The sequence below is a fragment of the Homo sapiens genome, chromosome 10 (genome assembly GCF_000001405.40).
Source record: "Homo sapiens chromosome 10, GRCh38.p14 Primary Assembly".
Taxonomy (NCBI): Eukaryota; Metazoa; Chordata; class Mammalia; order Primates; family Hominidae; genus Homo; species Homo sapiens.
In genome coordinates, this window is record NC_000010.11 from 120,586,183 (window position 1) to 120,613,211 (window position 27,029).

Here is a 27,029-nt window from a genome sequence, read left to right on the forward strand (position 1 = left end):
GGAGCGCAGTGGTACGATCTTGGCTCACTGCAACCTCCACCTCCCGGGTTCAAGCAATTCTCCTTCCTCAGCCTCCAGAGTAGCTGAGATTAAGGCACATGCCAACACACCTGGCTATTTTTTTTTTTTTTTTGTAGTTTTAGTAGAGACAGGGTTTCACCGTGTTGCCCAGGCTGGTCTCAAACTCCTGAGCTCAGTCAGTTCGCCCTCCTTGGTCTCACAAAGTGCTAGGGGATATGACCTATTTTCTAAATGCACCTTGGTAGAGTCTCCAAATAATCTCAATGTGTGGCCTCAGTAGGCTGACTCAGGATCACATTCCTGGAACACTTACATAACAAGGCCTCTTAGCCACCTTGTACTTGTGGTTCCATGCTAATATGTTACTGATGAGGTCATCAGGAGGACCAGAATGGGAAAGGGGCATGCCCAAAAACACACAGGACAGCAACCCGACCTAACCCTGAGTTACTATGTATCCATTTCCCTCAACAAACATAATTATGCTGTGAGCAAGATGTTGGCCAAGGTGCTGAAGGAATCAACAGCCAACCCTAATAGAGTTTTGAGTCCAGCATTAAACATTAAACAATCGCACAATTTGTCATTGTTCGCCACTCTAATTGCACAGGGAGTGGGGAGGGACTATTAACATGTGTAACTGGGAGACTTGGTCTAGTCTGGAGGTCAGATGAGGCTATGTTGCACAATGATGTTGAGCTCTGAAATATGAATAGAAATGACATTGAGCTCAGAAATATGAATAGAAATGACATTGAGCTCTGAAATATGAATAGAAATGACATTGAGCCCTGAAATATGACTAGAAATGATATCGAGCCCTGAAATATTAATAGAAATTGATTAGGGGAAGGCATGAGGAGAAGGGATTCCTGGGAATCCAGGATCGGAACAGCACATGTGGAGCCCCAAGAGGAGAAGCAGCACATGTATTTGAGGAACTAAAGGGAAGACCATGGCTTCGGTAGGAGGAGTGAAGGGGAAATGGCTGGGATGGTTGGCAGGGCCAGGGATGCAGCCTTGAATGACACAGGGGCTTGGCTGTTCTGTTACAGCAGTGGGAAGGAGTCAGCCAAGCAGGAGAATGGCTGCGCCTATTTGCTCTTGAGAGAACATCACCAGCTGCTGTGTCCCAAGTCCAGTTCCAGAGCAGCGTACTGGGCCCCTGGTCTACATGCACTGAAACTTATGCTGCCATCACGGACATGTCTAAAATAAAAGAGCTTTTCTTTTATTTGTACTTCTTTTCCTGCTTTGCTATTGTGGATTAATAAAATTACATGCATGAAATTACTAAATTTGTTTTAAAGAAGATAAAGCTATTCATTATAGAACTTTTCATGTTTAACTATTAGCTTCATAGAAACTGAAAGTAGAAGCAATTCTATGAAAGATACTGAAATATGAAAATATTGTCCCCGTCCTCAAAAATTATCCCGTTAGATCTAGATAGAACCAGGATACCTATAACAGGATCACAAAAAGACTGATAGGTGCAATGCACGTTTCTAAGCATTGAGCAGCTTGTTTTCTTGAAAGATACATTTCTTTAATGACCACTCAAAATGTCACCTACAGGAGATGCAGGGACATTAGTTTGTGACTTAAACTGAAGTCTTTATATAGTGCGTTGCTTACTGGGAAGCGTTGGGAAACTTGCCACCCTGAGCACTGATCCTTCAGGAAAACCATTGCCTCCTACCTGAATGCAGATGGACATACCCTTCAGCCCGTGGGGCCTGCTGCATCCTGAAGGCTGGGACCTCAGACAGTCATGTGGTTATCAAGCCTGGAATGAACCCGCCAGGGTGTGGACACAGCATCACGGACCAGTGCAACTGCAGGATCAGGACTCCAGGGTTCAAGCCCAATTCTTTTGGGGAAAATGGGGCTGATCCTGCCTGCCTATGGGAAGTCTGTACGGTTCAACAAGAGTTTCAAATTTTTTTGTTAGGGGAGATTTTCCACTGGACTAGAATCTTTTCAGCAAAAATAACCCATAGACAGTTAAAGTGAACACACACACAGATACTAAGCGAGAGTTGTTTATGTGAGCTGCTTTTATGAGGTCTCTATTGAGAACTACCTGAATGTTCTCTTTGGCAGGGGGCTGCCCTTGGGGCGGAGGGCTGGTATTCCCTGCAGATGCACCCCCCTGCCTCACCTGCTCCCCTCTTGCCTCCCAGCTGGTAAGATCTGTATCTGTTAGAGAATTGAGTCCTTCCCGCCAGAGGTCTGCTGAGTTTGCCAACACAGGCATATCTTAAAATGTTTTATTCACTTTGTCTGTGACTCAGAAGGTTCATTTCATCCCTGGGAAACCACTTACCATGAGGCAGAGACCCTGGCATCTGCTGGCTTTTCTGCAGCACACCAGCAATACTACAGGACTCTGATGGGAACTTACTAAAGAAAAAAAAAATTACAGCTCCCAAGATATTTAGATCCTACAGAGATGGCTTGAATTCTTCTTCCAGAATTTAGAATTGATTTCAAAAATCAGAAATACAAATCTGAGTTTATGCAATGCTCAGGTGTGAGTTAAAGAAATACAGGGAAGGGCTGGGTGTGGAGGCTCATGCCTGTAATCCCAGCGCTTTGGGAGGCCGAGGTGTGCAGATCACATGAGGTCAGGAGTTCGAGACCAGCCTGGCCAACAGGGTGAAACCCTGCCTCTACTAAAAATACAAAAATTAGCTGAGAGTGGTGGCATGTGCCTGTAATCCCAGCTACTTGGGAGGCTGAGGCAGGAGAATCACTTGAACCAGGGAGGCAGAGGCTGCAGTGAGGCGAGATTGCAGCACTGCACTCCAGCCTGGGCAACAGAGCAAGATTCCATCAAAAACAACAACAACAACCCAAAACAAAACAAAAAACCGGGAAGAAAGAATCAAGTACTCATTTTTAAGTATTTCAGTACCAGAAATGCTGGCAGTTTGCAGAGGCCACCACTGTGGTTTCTTTCCTTTAGTCTTTCAGGGGGTCCTGTAAGCAAACCAGGTCCTAGAACAGGAAGGAAAAGTGCTTTCTGGAAAATATAATTGGCCACATTTGAACAAATGGTAACCCATTTTTCCTGCTCTGCTGTTTCCTGCCTAGATTCCTTTGTGGGTGGAGTCATCGGCCTCATTTTTGCATACATTTGCTACAGACAGCACTATCCTCCTCTGGCCAACACAGCTTGCCATAAACCCTACGTTAGTCTGCGAGTCCCAGCCTCACTGAAGAAAGAGGAGAGGCCCACAGCTGACAGCGCACCCAGCTTGCCTCTGGAGGGGATCACCGAAGGCCCGGTATGACCAGTGTCCTGGGAGGATGGACACTAAGCCCTGGGCACATCTGCCACCCTGACATCATAACACAATAGAAATGGTTTTCTGTAGTGTATTTTTCATCAGTTGTTTCTCAAAGTCATCGTACTTCTGCTTCTGTTTCACTGATGGTGTTCCTGCTACTTTAAATGTCTACTTCCAACATCCTTGAATTTGCAAGTGAAGGACAACAATCTCTGAGAGACGTGTGGAAGAGGCTGTGAAGGTGGGGTTTGGGGAGCTTGGCCGATTCGTCTATCTGAAATGTTTGCTGTAACAGCCACCTTCCTATGTTTTCATGGTTGTAAAACATAATAAAACCTCCCACGTGGAAGACTTGGTGTTGGCCACCCAGCGCAACAAGTCATTTGGAGATGCAGCAGGTTTCTCAGAGACCCAAAGCCAGCTCTGTCTGTAGGTCATTCCAGGTGCTGAGCTTGGAAGCAAAGGCTCAGAACCTTTCTGAGCCATCAGCTTCTCATAGCCCACGTCTCTAAAATAGATTTGAAACTTGGAGTGACAGCTTGAGCATTTCCAGGGCTTTTGAATCATTGAATCTGGAAGCAAATAAAATTAATAACTTCATGCACAGACTTCCACCAAACACAATGAGCATGAAGATGCATGAGTGCATGTGTGGGGGATGAGGTCACAGCAGTTGCCTGAGGGTTCATGGGCACAATATCCTTCCCATCTTCCAGTCTAAGTTTATGGAGCCACTTCTGTAGCTCTGCCTCATACAGTGAATTTTTGGGGCACGGGGGCTTTACTTGGCTCTTCTGCAAGAAGTGATGTGACCGATCTCACAGATCAGAAACCGCATGCCTGGGGCTCATCTCAAGGGAGTGGCTGAGTGGCCATTGGGGATAAGAAGCAACTTCAGGCTGAGAATTTTTCCCCTTTAGGATCTGAGTTTTGCAGAGCTCTGCTCTAAGGATTCTCCAAGTGGTGGTGTGTTCCTGTTCCTATCTAGCTGGCAATATTTCAGCATGATAGGACTCTGGTAGAAGGTACAAGAACAGAATCAGGAATGTGCTGTGTCTCTCGCTCAGCTCTTTGCATTGTTGAATACAGCCAGTCAATATGAACCTTTTTCAGTCTGAGTATAGAGCACGCTGCTCCTTGGCCAGCTAGTTTTTTCAAGGCAAGGAGCATCCCCTTCATCCAATTCTGATTGGATGTACCATGTGGTTGTTCAGATTCCTGGGCCTGGGTGCTACGAGGTGATGCATCTTTGCTATCCAGAGTGTCACTTTTTTTTTTTTTTTTTTGAGATGGAGTCTCGCTGTGTCGAGACTGCACTGGAGTGCAGTGGCGTGATCTTGGCTCACTGCAACCTTTGCCTCTGGGTTCAAGCTATTCTCGTGCCTCAGCCTCCCAAGTAGCTAGGACTACAGGTGCCCGCCACCACACCTGGCTAATTTTTGTATTTTTAGTAGACACGGGGTTTCACCACGTTGGCCAGGCTGGTCTCGGACTCCTAGCCTCAAGTGATCTGCCCACCTCGGCCTCCCAAAGTGCTGGGATTATAAGCGTGAGCCACTGCACCTGGCCAAGAGTGTTGCTTTTGGGCAGTTAGCATAACAGACTGCATTTTGAGAGACTCAGGTGGCTGCCTAAATGGTCAGCTTATCAGCCCTGGGCTGCGTGTGCAAGTTAGAAGCATCAGAATATCTTTGATCAGCCATTTCTGTTAAGCTCCATGGGCTTAAGCTTGGAGTGCATGTACCACTGACTATGCTCCATGAGCCCCAGTGCAGCCCTCTCCAGCCCTGGTCCTTCCAAACTGGCTTTGGCACGGTCATGTGATTGTCCCCTGGATGGAGTGGGAGAGGGGGAGGCTTGAATTGACTTTCATCCAAAGTCAAGCCATTGATTTTTTAAAAATTATAGCAGTTACATTGGCAAGCAACTTTGAAGATGAATGTGAGATATTTTAAGAGATAAATCATAGCAATTGAAAAGACATAATTTTAAATTCTGAGCTAAAATTCATTTAAAATTAGAAAATTAAACAATACTCTAATTTAACTAAAAACTCTATAATTTTCAAAAATAAAGCCCAAAATAGAAATGTAGGAAAAAGATCCTTTGCTACTGTTAAAAAAAAAAACCCCATCCTGATGTGGCCCACATTCTTATTTGATTCTAGTTTTATCTGAGCAAGAGGAAAGGAAAAGGGTTGTACTTCAGTTAATAAAGACTTAAAATTCTGGACCATCAAGTGTAAATTTAATATAAATAATTTTATTTAAAGATAAATGGCCAGGAAGTACTCTGCAAAGTAACAACAGAGTATTACTAATGCTGATAATTACATGGAAAATCCTAATACTGGCCATGTAAAAGCTTTGATTAAAATATAATTCAAATTACAGATGATGTAATAACATGAAGCTGGTGGTAGGATCCTCAGGAGCCATAATGAACAGTGTAAGCCAGTTCACAAAAGGCAGGCATTTTTACAGATCCTTATGTTTCAATTTCATGCTCTATTCACGTGAAGTAAATATAACATCACAGTGTACCAATTAAATGGCCATAATGAGAACGTTTATTCCTCAACCCCTGATTTTTTTTTGGATGTGGGGTTCCTAATTCAGTCTCTTTGGAAAAGCAGGTTACACACAGTGTGAAGAGTCCGAGCCCACCCTGGGAGCTGTGGGATGTCGGAATTTCTTCCTCTTTGAGTAAACTTACTCAGAGTCCATGTTAGAGATCGGCAGCCACAAGCTCAGATACCTTGAGGTACTAGGAAGAGAATACAGTGAATGAGGCAAGTGGGGTCATTAAGGAATAGTGGAGACTGTGGAAGACTAAAAGCACACACCCCAGGGAAGTGGTGCTGGAGTGCAGTGGCGCGATCCCTGCTCACTGCAAGCTCGGCCTCCTGGGTTCACGCCATTCTCCTGCCTCAGCCTCCTGAGTAGCTGGGACTACAGGCACCCACTGCCATGCCCGGCTAATTTTTTGTATTTTTTAGTAGAGACAGGGTTTCACTGTGTTAGCCAGGATGGTCTTGATCTCCTGACCTCATGATCCGCCTGCCTCGGCCTCCCAAAGTGCCTGGATTACAGGTGTGAGCCACAGCGCCCAGCCCAAACACATATTCCCCCAAGAGAAGTCAAGAATCTTCATTTTATATGAGATTGTTTGATTTTACCTTGGGCAACTGTTTCCATTGAGATACATTAGAATGCAACCAACAATACACCCCAGTGAAAGAAGCTTAATCAGTAGGGGTTTATTAAGATTAAAAATAATAAGAAATTGAGAGGTTGGTGGTCTCAAAGCCCCCAGGCTTTCCCATGCTCTTGCTCCACCATCTTCAGTATGCCAGTGATTCTCCCTCATGATCACAAGGTGGCTGCAGCATCTCCAAGAATCACATCCTCATCCCATCATGCTCAAACGAAGAAAGAAAGGAGCCCAGTCATGTGACAAGATAACTCTACTTGTCGGTCTGTTTATCAGGGAAGAAAATGTTTCCCAGCACCCCTGAGAAATATCCCCTTTACTTGCATTGGCTAGAATGATGTTGGATGGCCACCCCCAGAAGTCATGGGGGCTTGGAAGAGTGAATATCCAGCATTTTCAGTCTCTTTGCAGGAGAAAGATTCTACCTGCTTGGGAAAAGGGTTAAACAATGGCCATTGGGTTGACAATGAACAGCATCTGTGACAGCACCAAACTTGTTTAATTAAAACACAAAAATGGCACATCAGTCACATAAAAATGTAGAGCAGGCTGTTTGCAGTCTCCTTTAGGGCTCACATGTCTTCTTAGTGGGTTAGAATTTGAGCAGAAGAGCCAGCTCTTTAGTCAATCTATTTAGCCCTATTGAATTGCCCTTCTCCTAAAGAGCTTTTCTAGCTAAAGCCATGGTCCTTGTTGTCTGGGCATACTCCATCTTCCTGAAGCTTCTGGCACGTTCCCCTCAGCTTTACCATTTTGAAGATACTGTTCTTTTCCTTAAACTCACCGTTTTCTCACCTCCCATGACTTATCACTTAAGATATGTCCCATTCTTTCCGGTTCAGAACAAATGGGGGTCACATTCATAGTTATCTGCTTCCTCTTCACATCTGGAGTTGACCCCACTTGGGAAGGTTCTTCTTTCCTTAGAAAAAATCCTCACACACAGGACTAGGGTTCCAGAAATGATGACTGGCAAACTTCCCTTCCCCCTCCCCACTCAAAAGGGAGACCCCCAGCCTAGGTGAGCCAATCTCATCTCACTCCTAGGAGCTAGAACAGAGCTGAGCCACCTTAATGGCAGCCTCTTAGAGAAGAAAAACATAAGCCCCTACTTCCAGATGCCCCAGAGTGCCCCATTTCCTGCCTGCCTGAAATGGTTGCTCAGCTCTTCTTTCAGTACTGTGAGCCACCCAGAGCCTGCCAATGCAAGCATTTTTTCCCCCAACTAGAGCTGCTTTCTGTTTCTTACAACTGAAACATCTTCTAAAGAAGAGCTTTAATTTCATCTGTCCCAGCTCTCCATATGTGGAAGAGTTATTTCCAAGAGGTGTGCAGAGCACTGCGTTGATGACACCGGGCTTCAAAATTCCACTCCCACCTGTCAAAACCGAACTTTCCAAAGGTTGGTTCATCCACCGTGCAACCCCAGGTGGAAATTTCAGAGAATGCCTGGCAGGTAGTTAATCTAAACTGGCATGTTCCCCAAGTCTTCAGCATTTAGTGATTCCAAACTCTGGCACTCTGGCACACACACGAAACATCCAGCTACAGTAGCATTTCGAGGGAAGCCTGACACAGTGCTTGGATCTTTCTGTCTGTCCCCACTTCAAAACAAATAAAAGCAAAACAACAACAGTAACAACAACAAAGCAAAACCATTTTCCTAAGTTTTAAAAAGTAAAATGCCAATTTCAGTGTAAAATTTACCATGAATTTTAAAGATGTGTGCTTCTTTGGGGAGTATTTTTTCCCTTGCACGTGTGTTTGTGTTTATGCCTTTAGAACTTTGATGGGCATGTCCTATCTCTTCTCAGCACGTCACGTGCTTGGGGACATGTGTACCTGCTTTGGTCAAGAAGAACTGTTAATATATTAGAAAATGGCTTTGATAGCCCCTGGCTATAACCATCCCAGGCCAAAGGAGTTCAGTGTCAATTAGGATAAATACTTTAATGTAATTTGCACCATTGCTGCTGTCTGGGAGTAGAGGAAATGAAGAACTAGAAATCTAGAAGCAGTTTTTGTTTGTGTGAAGGCAGAGGAAAAGAAGAGATGGCCTCACACCAGTGTTTCTCAAAGGGAATTTCACAGAACTGGTCCAGCTTTGTGAAAATACAATACAATACAGATGTGATTAATAGATTCTAAATTATCCTCTTACAGATCCAAATTTAAAATAGCATATTAAAGGCTCTGAAAAGTACTGCCGTGAAGAAACATGCCCCTTTTTATTCTTTTTTTTTTTTTTTTTTTTTTTGAGACAGAGTCTCACTCTGTCACCAAGGCTGGAGTGCAGTGGTGCGATCTCGGCTCACTGCAAGCTCCACCTCCCGGGTTCACCCCATTCTCCTGCCTCAATCTCCTGAGTAGCTGGGACTACAGGTGCCCGCCACCACACCCGACTAATTTTTTTGTATTTTTGGTAGAGACGGGGTTTCACCGTGTTAGCCAGGATGATCTCAATCTCCTGACCTTGTGATCCTCCCAAAGTGCTAGGATTACAGGCGTGAGCCACTGCACCCGGTGCCCCTTTTTATTCTTTGATGACATCTTTTCATCCCAGTGCTTGCAGTGGTGCTGCCATGACTGCTTGCCAGTGGATTCTGTAAATGATCAGGAATAATAATGCTCTCAGTGACAGACAATGAGAGTAACATCTTAACACAAAATATGCTGTGTGATGGGTGGCGTCTCTTCTTGCTATGTGGTGTCTCTTCTTTTTTTGCCCTGGAAAGATCCCCAGACTGACATAGAACACAGTCACAGATGCCCTGGGGACATCATACACTGTGATGCTAAACACCTGCTTTCATCCACATACAGAGTGCTCTTCAAGGATAGCACGGAGGAAAGAACCACTTAGAATGGGGCCAGGCAGCCCTGCCAACATCTCTGCCACTTAACCTTGAGCAAACTGCTTCACACTCGTGAGCCTCAGTGTCTGCATCTGCAAAACAGGAATAACACCAACCTTATAGGACCTTTTACAATGGTTTAGTGATTTAGAATGTATTAGGTTGGTGCAAAAGTAATTGTAGTTTTGCCATTAAAAGTAATGATCAAAACAGCAAGTACCTTTGCGACAACATAATAAGATATCAGACCATGATAGTTGTGATTATTGCAGAGCTCCTGGGGTATCTGAGACATGAATAAAGTAAGCACCTGGCACTAAAACTCTCTTGTCTTAGTCTGTTCAGGCTGCTACAATAGACTATCATAGACTGGTGGCTTATAAACAACAAAAACTTATTTCTTACATTTCTGGAGACTGGGAAGTCCAAAACCAAGGCACCTGCTGATTTAGTGTCTGGTGAGGGTGTGCTTCAGGGTTCATAGACCCCTGTCTTTTTACTGTGTCCTCACATGGTGGCAGGGGCAAGGGAACTCTTTGGGGTCCCTCATATACGAATACTAATCCCATTAATTAGAGTCCTACCCTTATGACCTAATGCCCTCCCAAAGGCCCCCACCTCTTAATACCATAACATTGGAAGTTGGGATTTTGACATATGAATTTGGGAGGAGACATAAACACTCAGTCTGTAGCATCTCTGAAGAGTAAATAGCAATTCTGATACAAGCAGGAGAATTTCACTGGCAACACTGTTATGGTAATCAGGTATTAAAACCCTAATTGAATTATAATCCCTCTAATCGCTGCTGCCACCAGTAGGTAATGATACAATTTATCCTCTTAGGGAACCAGATTCCCCCTATAAGAAGGTTGAATTAATAATACAGCAAAATTCACTATGTTGATTTTTAGAAACATTAATATGTCTGAGGGGTATTCAACCTAAGTCAGATGTTGCTCCAGGCACCAGCTATTTGGGAGAAAAAGGCCCATCTGAGCCAAAGCCAGGACAAGACAAGCAGCTTTAGGGGTGCTAAGGAGTGAGAAGCCTCCATACACCAGGGCTCACTCCTTAGGAGGCCTCCTGAAAGAAGGGGAGCAGGAGAGGGGCAGGGAGAACCTGCATCTATCCAAGGAAGGGGGTGAGCTAAGCTGATGGATACTTGAATTATTGGAGAAAAGTGTGAAATTAGAAAAACCCATGAAAAGACCCAGAGGCTTGTGAGCCTCTTAGGGATTGCAGAATGTTTTCGTTCACATGGAAACCAATTGCACAAAAAGTGCTCATACCTGTATTCCAGGAGCCAGCAAGGATAGTGTGTATGCAAAGAGAGCTTCAGTGAAAGGGGAGTTTCAGGAAATGATGGACCCAGCCTTCCTTAAAAAGAGGAGTCAGATACCTCCTTGCACGCATGTGCACACATGTGTGTACACACATGCAGACACACACACAATAGAGATTGTCTAAAGGTGGGTAGTTTATATAGCTCTCCCTGGATCATATAAACTGTGTTTCACTTGGACTTGCCATTGACTGAAGCAGACTTTGCAGAACATTCCAATCTTCAGCTGGTTATCCTGGACTCCCAGTCAGCCCCATATCTACACCCTGGAGCTCTAGAAAGATCCCTTCCTGGCACAGTGGTTCACATTGTAATCCTAGCACTTTAGGAGGTGGAGGCACGAGGATCACTTGAGGCCAGGAGTTCAAGACCAGCCTGGACAACATAGTGAGGCCCCATCTCTACAACAAATTTAAAAAAAAAATAGCTGAGCATGGTGGTGCACACCTGTAATCCCAGCTACCTCTGAGGATCACTTGAGATCAGAAGCTTGAGGCTGCAGTGAGCTATGATCATGTCACCACACTTGAGCCCTAGGCGACAGAGAGGGACCCTGTCTCTAAAAACAAATAGAAAAGAATGATCTTTGAAGTCACACTCACTGCTGATAACTTGAGGGTGAACCCCCAAGGCAAAGCAGGGGCTGCCTTTTGGGGTTGATCTGATGAATATCATCAAAATAGAGTGATTTTCCACCCTCATAATGGACAAGAGCAAACTCAGCCATGCTTGGGATCAAATCCAGCTCAGATACTTTCTTGAGCAAATTACGAACCTTTCAAAGATTCAGTGTCCTCATGTGTAAGATGGGTTTTTTTGTGAGGATTAAATGAAGAAAGCATGTATAGAAAGTGCTTAGTACAGGGCTTGGTACACGGTAAGTGCTCAATAAATGTTAGCTCTTGTGATTGGTCAATGTGAGCTGTCACTGTGTTGTGAGGCACGGGCTGTTCTACATGAATGCATTTCCCAGAAGAGTCGTGTCTTGAGCCTCTCTCACATGCTGACCATTTTGTTTAAAATATTTGATAGATGAATTCTACACTCCCTGGCCTTCCTTGTCCAGAGGCTTCTTCCTAAGAACTCAGTGCCAGGATTTTGAGTAGCACTGGATATTCTGTGCAATGGGTTCGTTCATCCAATTTCCACCACTTTACAGATGAACTGGGGATCAGAGAAGGCAAGCCACCTCCCCAAGGTCACACAGCTTGTGAGAGCAAGACAACAGCATCGAGGCCTATGTAATAGCAGAGCCATTGCTTCTTTGGCTCTGCGGAAGCTTGTATTGTGGTATATCTGTGGTGTAGCTTTGCTGTCTCCTGTGTCAATGTCAGGAGGACAGGCTGAGCTCCTGGGACCAGAACCCCTCAGATTCCAGGAGGAGCAGAGAAAGCACAGATGGCCTGGAGAGTCCCAGGGGTGAGGCCAGCAAGTACTTTCTTCCCCCAGGTGCTCAGAGCATCCTCTGAGTTGCCAAACAGACTCCCAGAGGGGTCAACTGTGGGCCCTAAACCAGACAGCAGCTGGGAAGCAGGCTCTCAGGGGAACTGGGGTCTCACCAGCTCAGGAGCAGGCCAGGACTCCTCAGCACAGAAGCTGGGAATCTTGAGTGTCCAGATCAGCCTGAAAATCTGGACTTGGGAAAAGCCATCTGGCTGGGGCCACCTGCATGCCGCTGTGACTGGGGCATCCTGCTGCTCTCCTCTCTCACAAGGTGGTGCCATCTGCCTTGTCACTGCTCCTCAGGACAAGCCTGACTGCTCTCCCTGCACCTCTGGCCATTGAGAATCCGGCTGCTCCATCGTGGTGGAAAATCTTCCATGCTCAGAGGGACACCTTCCGACACTGGGGTTCTGGAGAGCCTGGTGCCACGAGACAAGGAGCCATGTGACAAGAGGGGGAGGGGTAGGAGTGGGAGACACAAGTGTGGTTTGGGACAAAATAGGGCCTGAGGCTCACGTGTTATAAAACCCCCTTTGCTCTGCCTGTCTCCTTGAATTGTGGCCAGTTTCACATGGGAAGCAACGTCGAGGGACAGGGAGACTGCAGGTGAGGCCTCAGGGCTCTGCATTCCCATCCCCAAAAGTCACCAGCGTGTGGCCTTGTGGGTGTCACTCCCCTCTGTGGAGTCAACTTTGTGCAGTGACATGCAGAGGCTGGACTGCTGCCACCTCATGCCCCTCCTGGCATGATGGTCGCATGAGGCTGAGTGATTTGCAGGTCTATGGGGAAACCCGCCTCAGAGATGTGGAGGAGAAGCCAGGCAGAGCGCTGTTCATTCCATTTCTTTCTTTTTTTAATCTAAAGGAGGGAAAGAGCTTTATTAACTCAAACAAAGGGATGCCATACAACTTCCCAACGATACTGTGCAGTGATGGTATTAGCTTCCACCTGTTCTTCCATTCTGGGGGCAGGGTGTGAGGACTGGCTGCTCTGGGAGACGCTCTGAGCTGAGAGAGAAGAAATAGCTATGCTAATAGCTGCCCCTTACTGAGTGCTCACTCTGTGTCCGGGGCTACACCGAGTGCTTGCAGCGGGTTCTCAGGCGCACTTAGAACAGCACTGTGAGAAAGGCACTTTTGCTGCCCCTTGTGTACAGATGAGGACAAAGAGGGACAGAGAGGTTTAGAACCTTGACCTATATCACACAGCCAGTGAGCAGACGACCGGAATTTGAATCCTGCAATCTCTCTGCAGAGCCTGCGCATTTAATACCACACACAGTTCTGGCCTGCAGTGAATTTGGTTGTTCTTCCTGCCTGGGGTGGTCAGTTTCCAAGCCTTTCCAGATGGACTTCTGCAGCCCAAAGCTGCGTGCTCCCCGTGCAGGCCCTTGTCAGAGCAGAGAAAGATGGCTGAAGTTGTTGTCCATCTAGATTTTTATCTTCAAAACATTGCTGAAATCAATCTCTCTTCTACCGTCTCCGATTTCCTTTGTCCTTATGGGTGGTCTACAACTTTACTATCATTTTAGTGGATGCAAGAGGAGTGGAGATAAACACGTGTTCAGCCTGCTGTGAATCTCTGCAGTGGCTATGTTGTTTCTTAAACAGATGTAATGAGGCATCTATTCCCTGTGTGCCATGTGCCCCTTGAGTAGGGGACATCTGTTTTGTGTTGTCTGTGTCTCCAGCATTAGAATGGAACCTGGCACACAATAGAGGCTCAATTAGTATTTGTTGAATAAATGAACATTAAGAAACAGAAAAGAGCCTTGTTCCTTCCTTGTGTCTCCTTCTTCATGTTTTGTAGTCTGTTGGAATCTCATTACTAGATTATTGTTCCAGAAACATGTTCCAAGGACAGGCATGTGCAGGCAGAATGGAACTGGGAACGTAAACGGGAAGCTTGAACCTGGAAAGTCACAAGGGGGATGGAGATTTGGGGAGAAGTGGGAGCTGGGAGAGCAGCAGCCCAAGCTGAAGATCTAAGCTGGGGGTCAGGAGAGCCAGCTGAGAGCTTTCTAGGCTGCAGCTGAGCACCCTGTCTATGGGCCTCCCAGCCTCCAGGTCACCAACCTTGTGGGGAGGTGGGAGCAGGTGGGAGCATAGGTGCTGGGCCCTAGTGGACATCGAGGTGCACAGGTGGCCAGTGAATGTGGGATCCATGGGGGCAGAGGGAAGCCCTAGGATGCTGCAGAAGCCTGAGGCCAGCCCGAGGCCGGCTCTGGGAAGAGGGGGAGGCAGCTGCCATAGGTGAAGGCTCAGGAGGGCACTCAGAGATGGAGACTGAAGGCCGGCTTGCTTCTGCTTCCTCTGCCCAGAACCCCTGAATTTCAGGAAACAGAGAGGATGGAAGGACTTAGGGACTCTGGATGATGAGAGTTTCTGCAGTCCGGGACTTGCAGCATGCGTTTCCTCTGTGAGCCTGCTGTGCAGCCAGCTCCCTTCTCCCCCTGCTCTGTGCTGGTGCCCACAGAGGTGGCACTCCCTCCCAACCCCAGCACAACTGCCATCTCAGCAGTCCCCCAAGGAAGAGGCTGAGATCCTGCCTCGGGGCACCCTGAGGGGTCCACTTCACTCTCCTGACCACCCTGCCAGCCTGGACTCCCCAACCCCATTTCCAACCTCTGCACACTCCCAGCCTAGAGTGGGATTTTCTGGGAGCCTGAAGTATAGGCTGGACTGGGAGGGCTTGGCTGCAGCCTCAGCTCAGGACCACCCCCTGGTGGCCCCCTTGGGTGGGAGCCCATCTCTTGATGGATAGGTGAGCCTGTGTCCTCAGCAGTGACCTGAGCTGCTAGTTGGGGGAAGTGACTCAGCAAACTAGGCCGCTGCCAAGTGGCATCAGGATCCAAAGCATCCCCACCCAGTGGCTTCAGGTTGTTAAATTACATTTAGCCTAAAGCTGCCTCCATACATATTTTAAGTTCAGCCTAAAAGTTTCTACATGCATAGTGAACTGTAACCTAACTGAATGCGTAAGCAGACTATCACCTGCTCTTTTGCCAATCAGAGTTCAGCCAATCACAGGCAGCCAACTGTTCAAACCACGTTCAAATAAGGCAAACACCGAGAGCTGTAACTAATCGGCTGTTTCTGTACCCCACTTCCCTTTTCTGGACGTCACTTTCGTATTTTTGTCCATAAGTCTTCTACCATCACGTGGCTGCGTTAGAGCGTCTGTGCATCTGCTGTGATTCTTGGGGCTGCCTGATTCACAAATCATTCTTTGCTCGGTTAAACTCTGTTAAATTGAATTTGTCTAAGGTTTTTTCTCTATACAAGGTTAAGACATAACCTGTGTCTGACCCAGGGCCAACTGTGGGCTGTGTGTGGCGGGTGGCAGGGGCGTGTTATTCCCTTTCTTCCAGAGGCTGTGTTCTCAAAGTTGAGTTCTCAGGTTGCTCGCGCACAGGTGCCATGGTGTCCTCATTCATGGGATTATCGAGACCCAGATACCACCCCAGAGCTACTGAGTTAGACTCTGGGGATCAGAACTGGGACTCTGTAATGAGCACTCACCCACATGGATCTCAGGCTCACCTGGTGTGGGAGCTTCTGCCCTCTGTTCTGCCTGCTGGACACAATGTAGAAGAGACAGTTTTACCAGGCTGTTCTTGGGGTATGCTCTATCCTGGAAAGAGGGATCTCGGGAAATGATGACATTTCTTTATGTTTGGTTGGTATTTCACAGTGTATTGTGCATTCTGGGACCACTATCAACTCACCTGCTTAAACCTCAACCCTAGGGACCTGCCTTGATTGGTCCTTTTCTTGATTCTCTTCTTCTAATCCATCAGCAACCCCTCTGGCTCCTACCTTCAAAGTGGACTCCACACCTAACCACACCCCCCAGCTCACTGTGGCCACCGTAGTCCACCCCTGTTGTCACCCCTGCTCACCTGAGCTGCTGGGATGTCTCCCACCCATCAGTGCCACATTCACTTCCCCCAAATCCATTTTCCACTGCAGCCCAAGTGTGTATGTGTGTGTTCCTTTTTTATTAAGGCACTGTTTTCAGAGAACAGTTTTCACTTGTTTTAAGTGTACGGTGTTTGAATTGTGATCCTTGTACATAATAACTATGTAACCACCAAGACCGAAGGCAGTTCCCTCATCCTCAAAGCTGCCTTTTGCTCCTTTGCTCTCCATCCCTGGACCCAGGCAGCCCTAGATCTGTTTTCTGCTGTCTGATTTTTGCCTTTTCTAGGATGACATATGCGATGGTTAATACTGAGTGCCAACTTGATTGGATTGAAGGATGCAAAGTATTGATCCTGGGCGTGTCTATGAGGGTGTTGCCAAAGGAGTTTAACATTTGAGTCAGTTGGCTGGGAAAGGCAGACCCACCCTTAATCTGGGTGGGCAGCATCTAATCAGCTGCCAGCAAATATAAAGCAGGCAGAAAAACATGAAAAGGCAAGACTGGCCTAGCCTCCCAGCCTGCATCTTTCTCCTGTGCTGGGTGCCTCCTGCCCTCGAACATCAGACTCCAGGTTCTTCAGTTTTGGGACTTGGATTGGTTTTCCTTGCCCCTCAGCTTCTGTCCCTCTAAAGAACGCTGACTAATACATAACTGTGTAACCACCAAGATAGAAGGCACTTCCCTCATCCTCAAAGCTGCTTTTGCTTCTTTGCTCTTCATCCCTGGCCCCAGGCAGCCCTAGGTCTGCTTTCTGCTGTCTGATTTTTGCCTTTTCTAGGATGTCATATAAATACAATCATACAAGATGTTGTCCTTGGGTTTGGATTTTTTTCTCATTTAAGATTCATCCATCCACATCACTGTATATTTTCATCTGGACTCTCTCTCTTTTGCACATCAAACTGTTGCTAAACTGCCGGGTTCACCAGCCCACTGTGCAGCAATAGGCCAATACTCAGACAGCAGGGTTTGCGGCAGAGAAAGAGTTTAATAATTGCAAGGCCGCTGAACAAGAAAACGGGAGGAATTCCCAGCTTCAAATCTGTTTGCTGAGGAGTTCTGGGCAAGAGTTTTTAAGGGGATTGTGGAGGATGAGGGGCTGGAAAATACGGGGTAAATACGGGGTCATCGATTGGTCCGGTAAAGGAGTGAAATTATCAGGATGTGGAAACTGTGTCTTCCAGGAGTCAGCTGCTTAGTGGGCCCTTCAGAGGAGGGGGATGGATAGTTTTGTCAGTTTGCAGAATCTAAAGGGGAAACGCTTAGATTTTATCCGTAGAACAAAGAGCCTTGTGAGGAGGGCTACCTTATTCTGGGGTTGTGAGCAGCGACCGGCTACAAGGAAGTGGGCCAAAGGGCAAGCTGGCTTAGTGATTTCTGCTGATTGTGTTGCTAGTCTAGTTGAATTTTTTCTTTTTTCCTTTAATCAGTTTTATAAAGTTTTTTGGGGAACGGTTTCAAAACCAGCTGAGCGGTTTCTGACCATGCTGCTGTGCCTCTGCCTGGATGGCTCTCCCTCACCTAGTTCTTTCTCCTCCTTCAGGCCTCAGCCTCAATGCCACCTCCTGAGCCCTGCCGTCACTGTGACGGCTCCCCCCTCCCCCAACACACACAATTAGTTTTTATTGTATTTTCCTAAGTTCCTTCATGTCACAGTTATATTATTCATATATTCTTATGGGTCAAATTGTCCCTGTCCCAAAAATTTGTATGTTGAAGTCCTAACCTTCAGTACCTCAGAATGCGACCTTATTTGGAGACAAGGCCTTTACAGAGGTAATCAAGTGAACATGAGGTCATTAGGGCAGGCCCTCACCCAACATGACTGGCATCATTATTCAGAAGAGGAGGTTTAGACACAGATCTGCACAGAAGCATGGCGATGTGAAGACAGCCATCTACAAGCCAAGGAGTGAGACCTGGGACAGATTCATTCTCCTCACAGCCCTCAGAAGGAACCAACCCTGCTAACACCTTGATCTTGAACTTCCAGCTCCAGAATGGCAAGACAGTACTTTTCTGTTGTTTAAGCCACCTAGTTTTTGGCACTTTGTTACGGCAGCCCTACTGTACTAATACATATATATATATTTCCTTTCTGCCCTCTCTAGAGTGCAGGCTTCTTGGGAGCAGGGATCCCCTCTGTCTCATTCATAGCCCTGTCCCCAGAGGGGGCCTTCAATATATTAATATTTCCGCATTAATGAATGGGTACATCATGTTATTTTGTTGTTGCCATTATCCCTATAAGGTTGGCTTGCCAAGTTTAGGCTCCTTACCCAAGTTGATGGCTAAAAGAGAGAACTCTTGATACCTGGGGCCGCATCATTCCAATTATGCTACAGTTCCCTGAGGGCCTTCTTATGTTAGATAAAATCTGGAAACAAATTCTACTGTCTTTTCCTTCTTATAGGATACAGAAGACTTGTTCTTCTAAAAGTGTTTCAGGAAGTTCAAAGCTGTCTCATTTGGGCTGTGGGGAGAGAAGCAAAAACAACAACAACAAATCAACCAAACCCAGATACCTTGAATGACATTTTTCCAGTAAACAAAGCAAACCAACAAACCAAACAAAAACCTTCTTTATTTTTTTTAACCTAAGTATTGGCTATCATACTCATTTATAAAGCAGACACCCCAATCCATTCTCATATGATTATTTACTCCAATGTGATTTGCAAAGATCTTTCAAGAAGCTGTCAGTTGCACACTTGGAGCTGTAGGCCCATTGATTAAAACACACTTGCAAACTAAGAGACATTTGCCAGAATGGCCAGAAAAAAAGAGGCCATGGCAGCTTTTAAACCAACACCAGACAGGTTCTGAGAGACCAAATGCATGCAGAGGGGTGTTTGGGGATGGAGGGTGGGCAACAGATAGTAAATATATTACTGCTTTGAGTGGCCAGATACCTACCTGGAAGCAGGTTTGCAATATGATAGCCCACTCAATTAATTTTTTTTTCCCCAAGGGGCCTAAGTAGTATAGCTATTCTTTAATTTGAAATGAGTTAAGTTTGGGGAATGATAGCATATTTAATGTACAGCTGGGCACTGGTGCATTCTAACTCTGGCTATGTTCTCTTTTGTGGTTTTGCCTTGGTCTCTATGTCCTTGGGGTGTCTTTTCTCTGTCTCTATACATCACAGTGTGTTTCTGACTTCTCTGCTCATTCTTCTACCAGCACCTCTCTGCCTCTCTGTTTGTCTGTCACTGTTGTCTCTCTCTGTCGTCCTGTCATATTATCAGGCTGCCTGTTTGGCTACAGTAAAACTTCATCAGCCTCCCCTACACTGAGAGCAGAGCTTTTTTGTGGAACACAATAGCATTCAGAAGAGAGAAAAATCTCTTTAAGTGTGCAAATGCTGTCTCATTATCCTGAGACTGGAGGGAGGAACCTCTCAAGCTTTGTCATTTCAGTAAGAAACAAAAACCTTTGAAATTTTTACAATTATCTTCACACTCATATCTCCTTGTCCCCTACACCAGCTAAAAGATGAGTGAATAGCGCTGAGTGCTCGTTGGCTGGTCCATGGAGGGAAGGATCATTTATTGAGATATTAATTCAGGTTCTATCTTTGCTGCTGAAAGAGAATCAAAAAGAATGAGAAGCTTTGCTGTCCTGTGCTCTGGGTCTCTCCCTCCCCCAGGCCCTCAGCTGGGCAAGGAGGCAGGGAGGGCCTATTATACATGCTTTTATACACACACACACACACACACACACACACACACACACACACACAGAAATACATAAGCTTAATCTCTTCTTTTGGTTGAAAAAGTATAGCTGAGTGGGTGAGAGTAATAGCTCCAGAATTATGCAAATCATAGCTCAAACACAGGTTCATACCCACAGATTTACATCCCAGCTGTACTATGTGGCTTTGGGTGAGTTACCTAGATTCTCTTACCTTCAGTTTGTTCATCTGTAACATGGTGATAATGAGGAAGTTACTATGAAAATGAAATGAATCAATTCATTTAAAATATCTAGAAAAAGTGCTTGGCCCCTGGCAAGTACCTGAGAAGCTGGCTCTTATTTTCACTATTACTTACTGACTAATCTTGGAGAAGGAAATTGTTAGTGATTACCCACCGTAAAGCTTTGAACTGGATGACTTCTGAAGTTCTATACTTCTCTAAACACCATGGACACGGGTTTCTCATAAGGCCTTATACTCTTCTCTACTTTTGACTAACAATGGGTAAAAGCCATGATTAGAAATTGGACTGAAAATACAGTGGCTTAACACTTTAAAAAGAAAGATCTAGGGCTCACAGAAGACCAACCAATGATCTGAGTCATGTGGCAAAGAGCACGTAGGGCAGGGTTTGGGTTAGGTATACCGTAGCATTATTAGCACAGTTCACAAACTCTTCTTCCTTTGGGACACTAGTGGCCCCAGGAGGGAATGCAATTTACCTCCGAGAGAGTGACTAACTGGACAAATAAACAAGAGAAGAAAAAAGTGAAGACATTGAAACAAAAAAATTGGCTTATCTGATTTATAAAATAATCTGCTAGAGGGTGGCTGATGTCTTCACAAAGCCTTTCACTTGCATGAACTCCGGGCTGCTGTTGGGAGGAGCATGTTCAAGGGCTCCCTGGCTACTATATCTTTTGACTCTTTGGGAGAGAGAAGAGGCAAGGGCTTCAAATCAGCCTAGAGTTTGAGACTGAGCTATTTGAAATAGTGAGAGGAAAGAACAGTAGCTGTCCTGAACATGCAGAAAGTCTTGACTGATCAGTATCTGCAGGGCAGATTTTCAATCCTTTTAATCCCTTTGAGATGGATTCCACAGGCTCTACTGGGTAGTGGATCCAAGATGGCTGTGTGATCCTGGACAAGCCTCATCTGTAAAATGGCAGCAATACCTGCCCTATCTAACTCATAGAGTGGCTGTCAGACTCAGAGAAGACAACAAGTGAATGCTTGGGGACCTGACCAGTTGTAATGGCACAAGTGGGAAAATGCTTCCCATTCTCGTTCTTTTTCTCTCTCATTCACTTATGTCCCCATATCTGTAGTCAGGCATTTGTGGTATAAATAGCTTGGTTAGGAGTAGAGTGGGTAGCCATGAGCAGGGTGTGGAAGTTAAAATGGCACCTTTGCCAATTCCAGCCAAGCCTATGGCCAACAGCCAGGCCTGGCCTCTTCCACTTGACACTGGCCTGCTGGTGAGACTCACAAGACCTCCTTGCTTTGTAAACATCATCCAAAATTCTTCCATCAGTTGACATCACCATCTAGTGGGGTCTTCTCTCATGGGAACTTCTGCTCAGAGAGCGAATTGCTATGAGTCAGTAGGAATGACTAACAGAGATTCCAGAGAGAAGACACTGCCAGTTCATGGCCTCTTAAAGAAATGAATACATCAGTTAAAAGGCTCTTGTCTGCTGTCTATGACTTTCAGAACAACTTCTCCCAGTTGTCTGACATTGAGAGTAATGGAACCCTTGGGAGAAGTATCAACGTAATTAACAAACTTAGACATAATGATCCCTGATACTTTTAACAAAACATAAAATAACCAAGAAATGTCTACCACTTTATAAGTTCACATTGGAAACACACCTGATATAAATAATGAGTCAGAACAGTGGTTTCACTATTAAAAGTCAGCAGGTTTCATTATTAAAAGTCAGCCAAGAAAACGTGAAAACTTACAGGCTGAAAGAATAATTAAAGGCGATCACTATAGATTTTAAGCATTATTAGTTCTCAAAACTTCTGACTGGCTGATGATGAAGACAAATTCATTCTAATTGTCCTTGATAATTTCATGCTTTTAAAATCTCATGGCAAGACCAACTTGGGAGCCATAGTCCTCAACAGTGGGCATGGTCAGAATGATGGCTGGTAAGAGCAGAGCCCTAATCCATGACAGAATCTGTTAGCCTGCATGGATACAAGTGGGATGATGACTAATGAAGCCACTATTTAGCATTGTATCTAGGATTTCCTTGCCATCTGTAAACCGTGACCCCTCCCTTCAGGCAGTTTTTTAACCTGAGGTGGTTACCTGTTTTTGTTTGCTGTCCTACACTCCTGGCCCCTTGATAGAATTCAACTCTTCTTTGATAACGATTCAGTCTTCCCCTGTTCAAGTGATCAATGTGGGGCTGACCCCACCTCAGCTTCAGAGATGAGCATGTGACCCTGCCTGGCCAATGAGAATACCATATCTCTCTGACCATAGTGATTGGTTAAGGGATGAACATGTGGCCCACAGCTGACCAATCAGAGCTACTGAGACTCAGTTCTATGGTTTCAATGGAAACCACTGAAAAAGAGAAACTCTCTTTTGGCTAGAGTTGCTGTGAGGATGGAATGGGGAACCTGGACAGCTCCAGCAATCTTACTGCAGAAGGTGCTTCTGGGTGGATCCCAGGCAGAGGAATCAGAGGCAAAACATGGAGGGAGTGAACTCCTGAAATCACTTGGGTTCTGAATCCAGCCAAGCCCGAAACCAGCCCTGCCCTGGGCTTTTCAGGTACTTGAGCCAATGCATTCTCTTTTCCTCTTCATCAAGGTTTGTTTAGAGTTTGCATCCCACGTGACTGAACAGAATGGACATTGCTCTTAGCAAGGGACAGTAACCATGAGTCCAAGTCCTGAAACAGAGATGGGGTCCCCTTCCTCCCTTCTCACTGGTTTCCTTCCTCCTGAGTGGGGTCTATCTGAGCCTGGCATTTCCTTCGTGACAGTTTCATTTGCTCCTGGACGGTTCCCTTGCTCACCATCAGCCCTCGGGCCAGCTCTAACACTCAGTTTGTCCAGATAATGTTAGGAACCTGTAAAGAGGAACTCTATGTTGTTCAACTTTTTCTCTCATTAGCACACTGTTTTTCTGTCCCGGGTGATGCAGGCTGAATGCAAAGCAGCAAGATGTGCTGGTTTGAATTCCGTGGCCTTCCTTCATCAGCCTGAGTGTTTGTGTACACACAGCTGGGCTGCAACGTCAGTTTCTGTCTGATGGCTCAGAGCCACAATTTTACCCTGTTATTGATGCCCATTATGTCATTTTAGAAAATGTAGGGATGTGGCTGTCCAACTTATCTGAATATCTGTATATAAATAAATAAATGTACATTTAAATCCATCCTAACTTTGACGTGATCTGAGGGAAAAATGAGGTCTTTGTGTTTTCCCATAGAAATAAGAAGAAAGTAGGTTAATAAACCATCAGTATCACAAGCAATAATGCAACACATGAAATATCATTTGCAAATTATTTTTGCAATTACAATGTTGGTTTTCCATGAAGAGTTGTAGCAGCTGCCTCCTCTCTCAAATAACATATTCACCTGTGGACAGATGGGGAATTGCTAAGATCCCAGCTTATGTTTGTGAAAAGAGAAGCACCACAGTTTAGTGAGCAAGGAGGTTACTAAGCTTGGTGTGCACTCAAAGGCCATGTCTGCACTGTGTGTGATGAAGTGGAGGCTTTGGATACCCATCAGCAAGTTTTATGTTAATAAAATATTTTTTCTTCTATCAAATGCTAAGACCAAAAAGTTTGTCATCTGAATGTAATCGCGTAATTGTCTTGACTCTCAGCTCCATTTTGTGCTCAGAAGAAAGCAGTTGTGTCACGAAATGGAAAGATGAGGTCTAGGTTCAGTAGACCAGTATTGGCATTCTGGGAAAAATAAGACCCCAAAGATAACTTTTTACCATGATTTCACAGACAAATAGGACCTGAGATTTTCTTTTTATGGAGCAAGAAAGCAATGCTTATGAGGACCAGATCTGGGTCTAGTACTACCAAAGAGACTGCAGAGACTTGTGGAGGCATGTGATGGTGTTTCTGAACAATGTTTTTAAATTGTATATGTTTTGTAACAGGAAGAGAGAGATAGGGAAAGGGAGGCGGGAGGAAGGAAAGAAGAAAATAAGAGGAAGGAAGGAAGAATGGAGGAAAATTTCTCTTAATCAGAGAAATAATGAGAGCAAAAAAGAAAAAGAAACCCAGAGAGTCAGAATTCTATTGCAGCATCGTTGGCTAGAGAAAAGGACACTCGGGATTTGACAGGTCGTTGGGAGTGGCTGCTGGGTTTGAGCAGAGTATAACACATCAAGAGCTATGATATACGAAACTGAGTAGGCTTATTTCTTGCATGGCAGAGGAAGGATTAGAACCAATGAGTAGGAAAGAGACTTTGGTTCAGTTTTAAGAACTTTCTTAATAGAGAAATGGGCTTGCCAGTGAGTAGTGAGTTTCTTGTCTGGAGACTTTCCAGCAGAGACCAAACACATATAGGGTACGTTGACAAGGGAATTTAAACATTGAGGAAAATGTTAGACTAACTACTGAGATTCTATGTTTCACATTCGACTCTTGGAAATTAAGCAGTCATCTTAATAGAATACCTGGAAGAATCTGAAGCCACTGGGAACAAATAACCCTTAGACTCATGCAGAGTTCAGAGGAGGAAAAAGCTATGGCAGCAAGAACAAAGCACAAACCAAGTTAACACTTTGCAGCAATGAGGCAATTACTTCCCTCCAAAAACTCCACAGGGAACAATAGTAGGTAGAAGTTAAATCACAAACACTTCCCCTCATTATCTAGGAAATAACTTGAGCTGCCCTTCTAATTAGCATCTGTAAGCAGCCCTGTGCTGTCAGTTCTGGATAACTCTCAGAACCTAGTAAGATGATTATACAAGATGCTCAATCCCATGGTCATTGTTGGCCAGAACACTGCCACCCACACAATGACATGAGTAAGAGGCACTGCAGAAGCCACTTAAACTCCTGGACATATGGGCATAATAACATTTGGAGCTATTGTATAGTTCTGCAATTCAGTGAGCTTCAGCATATTCTGAGAATGAACAAGCTTCCTTCTTATGGTTAGAGTTGCTTTGGCACCTAACTCTCCATGTAAAGAGCCTTGTGTGCAGGGGCAGAGATGATTACATTTAAAATAAAGGCTTACATTTGCATTAATCACATTTATTAGGAAGCTAAGCAAAATCTAAGCTACTGTTTAAAGGTTCTGATGGAAAACATTTTCTCCTTCCACCTGTTCTTGGGGCAATATATTCTATGGACATGGTGACGGCCACTTTCTTCAGGTTGTCCTAGGTAGCTATTTATAAAATCATAGTTATAGAATGTTGGGTCACTTTTTAATGTGCTTATTAAAGCCAAGGAAATAATTTGGCATAACTCCCCAGGCATACTAGAGAAAACCAAGGCATGATCCAAGTAAGAGTCTCAATTTTGCATTTCTCTACTTTCTTCTGGGAGCTTGTCAATATTTGCTATTTGGTTTTCTTACTTTTTTACTTTGAAATCACTATAGGTGTGGGTTGGGGAAGTGAGGATGAGATACACTTTCAAAAAGTTCATACGGGCTGGAAAGGAGATGGGCACCTTAAGTCCCTGGGAGGAATTCATCAAGTATTAGTTATTTTCATGTGTCATGGGTGAGAAGCTTTTCTCCTCTCATCCAAGCAAGCCCAGCCTTTGGTTTTTCCAAGGCAGAGACCGTCTACTGGTCTCTAAGGACTTTCTGTAAACATCTTGTTAATTAGCTGTTAAGCACATTAAGTGAGAAATAAACATGAGTGACTTCATATTTATAGAGTTTGACAGGGGTAAAATCAATTGCTAATTGAGAAGAAGAATTTGAAAAAGAGACAAAAATATACCTAAGGATTTTGGTTTTGAGTCTCTGTTTCTATAGCCTAATTTTTCTCCTGGTTGTATAGACTATCATTTCTTGTTTCTTGGCCTGTACAGTAATTTTTATCTGGGTGCTGAACACTGTAAATTTTACTTTGTTGAGTATTTGGATTTTGTTGTCATCCTTTAAAGAGAGTTAGACTTTGCTCTGGCAGAAAGTTGTTATTTGAGCATCAAATTGTTTTTGTTTTGTTTTGTTTTTGAGGTTTGTTTTTAAGCTTTATTAGAGTGGTCCTAAAGTAGTCTGTAGGGCTAGTACAATGGCATGGCCCTCATGAAGTCTCTACTAAATGCTCTGGGATTTTAACCAGGTCTCTCTACTCTGGCTGGTTGGAGCTAAACTATCTTGCATCCCTGCGTGAGCTCTGGGAATTGCTCAGCTCACAGCTTACAGGTAGCAGTTCTTTGACCAGTTCTATGGAGTTTTACTCTGAAAATACACAGCTCAGTTTTCAGTCAGAGACCCATAGAGACACCCATGCAGATTTCTGGAGCTTTTTCTTTGTACGTTTTTTTCCTCTCCAGTATACTACCTCACAAAGCTGCCTCAGTCTCTCTAAACTATGATCCCTGTCTTGTCAATTCACAAAGACTGCTGTGTTCTCCTTGGCATCGCTTTGGGCACTGAGGTCTGGAAGGTGCCTCCAGGCAGAAATCTGGAGTGGTTGTGGGGCTCACCTTGTTATTTATCTTCTCTCAGGGACTATGTTCTTAATGCTACCTGTTGTCCAATGCCTGAAAGCAGTTTTATATATTCTATTTAGTTTTCTAGTAATTTATGATGGGAAAATATATCAGCTTCCAGCTACTCTGTCATGGCCAGAAATGGAAGTTCTTCATTTCCTAGTCTTTGCATACACATGTTGCACTGTTTCTGCTGCCAACAATTCATCAAACATTACATAGTTGAATAGAAACAGGACCTGGAGGTTGGGGTTGGAGAGGAGATTGTAACTCAGTGGCAAGACATTCATATAAATAAGTCCACCATGGGGAAGAATAATAGAGACGTGTAGTCTGGGCATGGCCTGGCTTTCCCTGTCTAGGACTCTCACACCGATAACCCTCTAAGCTGGGCTTAAACACTTCTTCCCTTTCCCATTATCAATACTGACTCATCCTTGACCCAGACTTACTTTTGTTTATTTGTTGTTTTGAAGCAGTCTTTTATTCTTTTTTATTTTAAACTTTTATTTTAAGTTCAGGCTACACGTGCAGGTTTGTTATATAGGTAA

At 44.8% G+C, this 27,029-nt stretch overlaps 1 protein-coding gene and 2 long non-coding RNA genes across 16 annotated transcripts in view; all 3 read left to right on the forward strand.

The window, feature by feature from the left end:
- Positions 1-5,883, forward strand: part of PLPP4 (phospholipid phosphatase 4) — a 135,112-nt gene extending 129,229 nt beyond the window's left edge. For 12 of the 14 annotated variants that reach the window (XM_011539444.4, NM_001030059.3, XM_005269592.3 and 9 more), the window contains one exon: positions 3,121-5,883. In XM_011539444.4, coding sequence (XP_011537746.1) covers positions 3,121-3,320 — 200 coding nt within the window. In that variant the 3' untranslated portion in view covers positions 3,321-5,883. Of the gene's footprint in view, positions 1-1,076; positions 1,262-3,120 lie in introns of those variants that run through there. The other 2 variants (NR_134516.1, XM_006717686.5) reach the window with 2 other exon arrangements.
- Positions 5,884-11,766: 5,883 nt separating this feature from the next.
- LINC01561 (long intergenic non-protein coding RNA 1561) lies at positions 11,767-13,941 on the forward strand. The gene has a single exon (NR_103717.1). It is a non-coding gene; the product is annotated as a long intergenic non-protein coding RNA 1561 (long non-coding RNA).
- Positions 13,942-22,399: 8,458 nt separating this feature from the next.
- Positions 22,400-27,029, forward strand: part of LINC02930 (long intergenic non-protein coding RNA 2930) — a 216,730-nt gene continuing 212,100 nt past the window's right edge. The window contains exon 1 of the long non-coding RNA XR_002957103.2: positions 22,400-22,591. This is a non-coding gene — a long non-coding RNA (long intergenic non-protein coding RNA 2930). The remainder of the gene's footprint in view (positions 22,592-27,029) is intronic.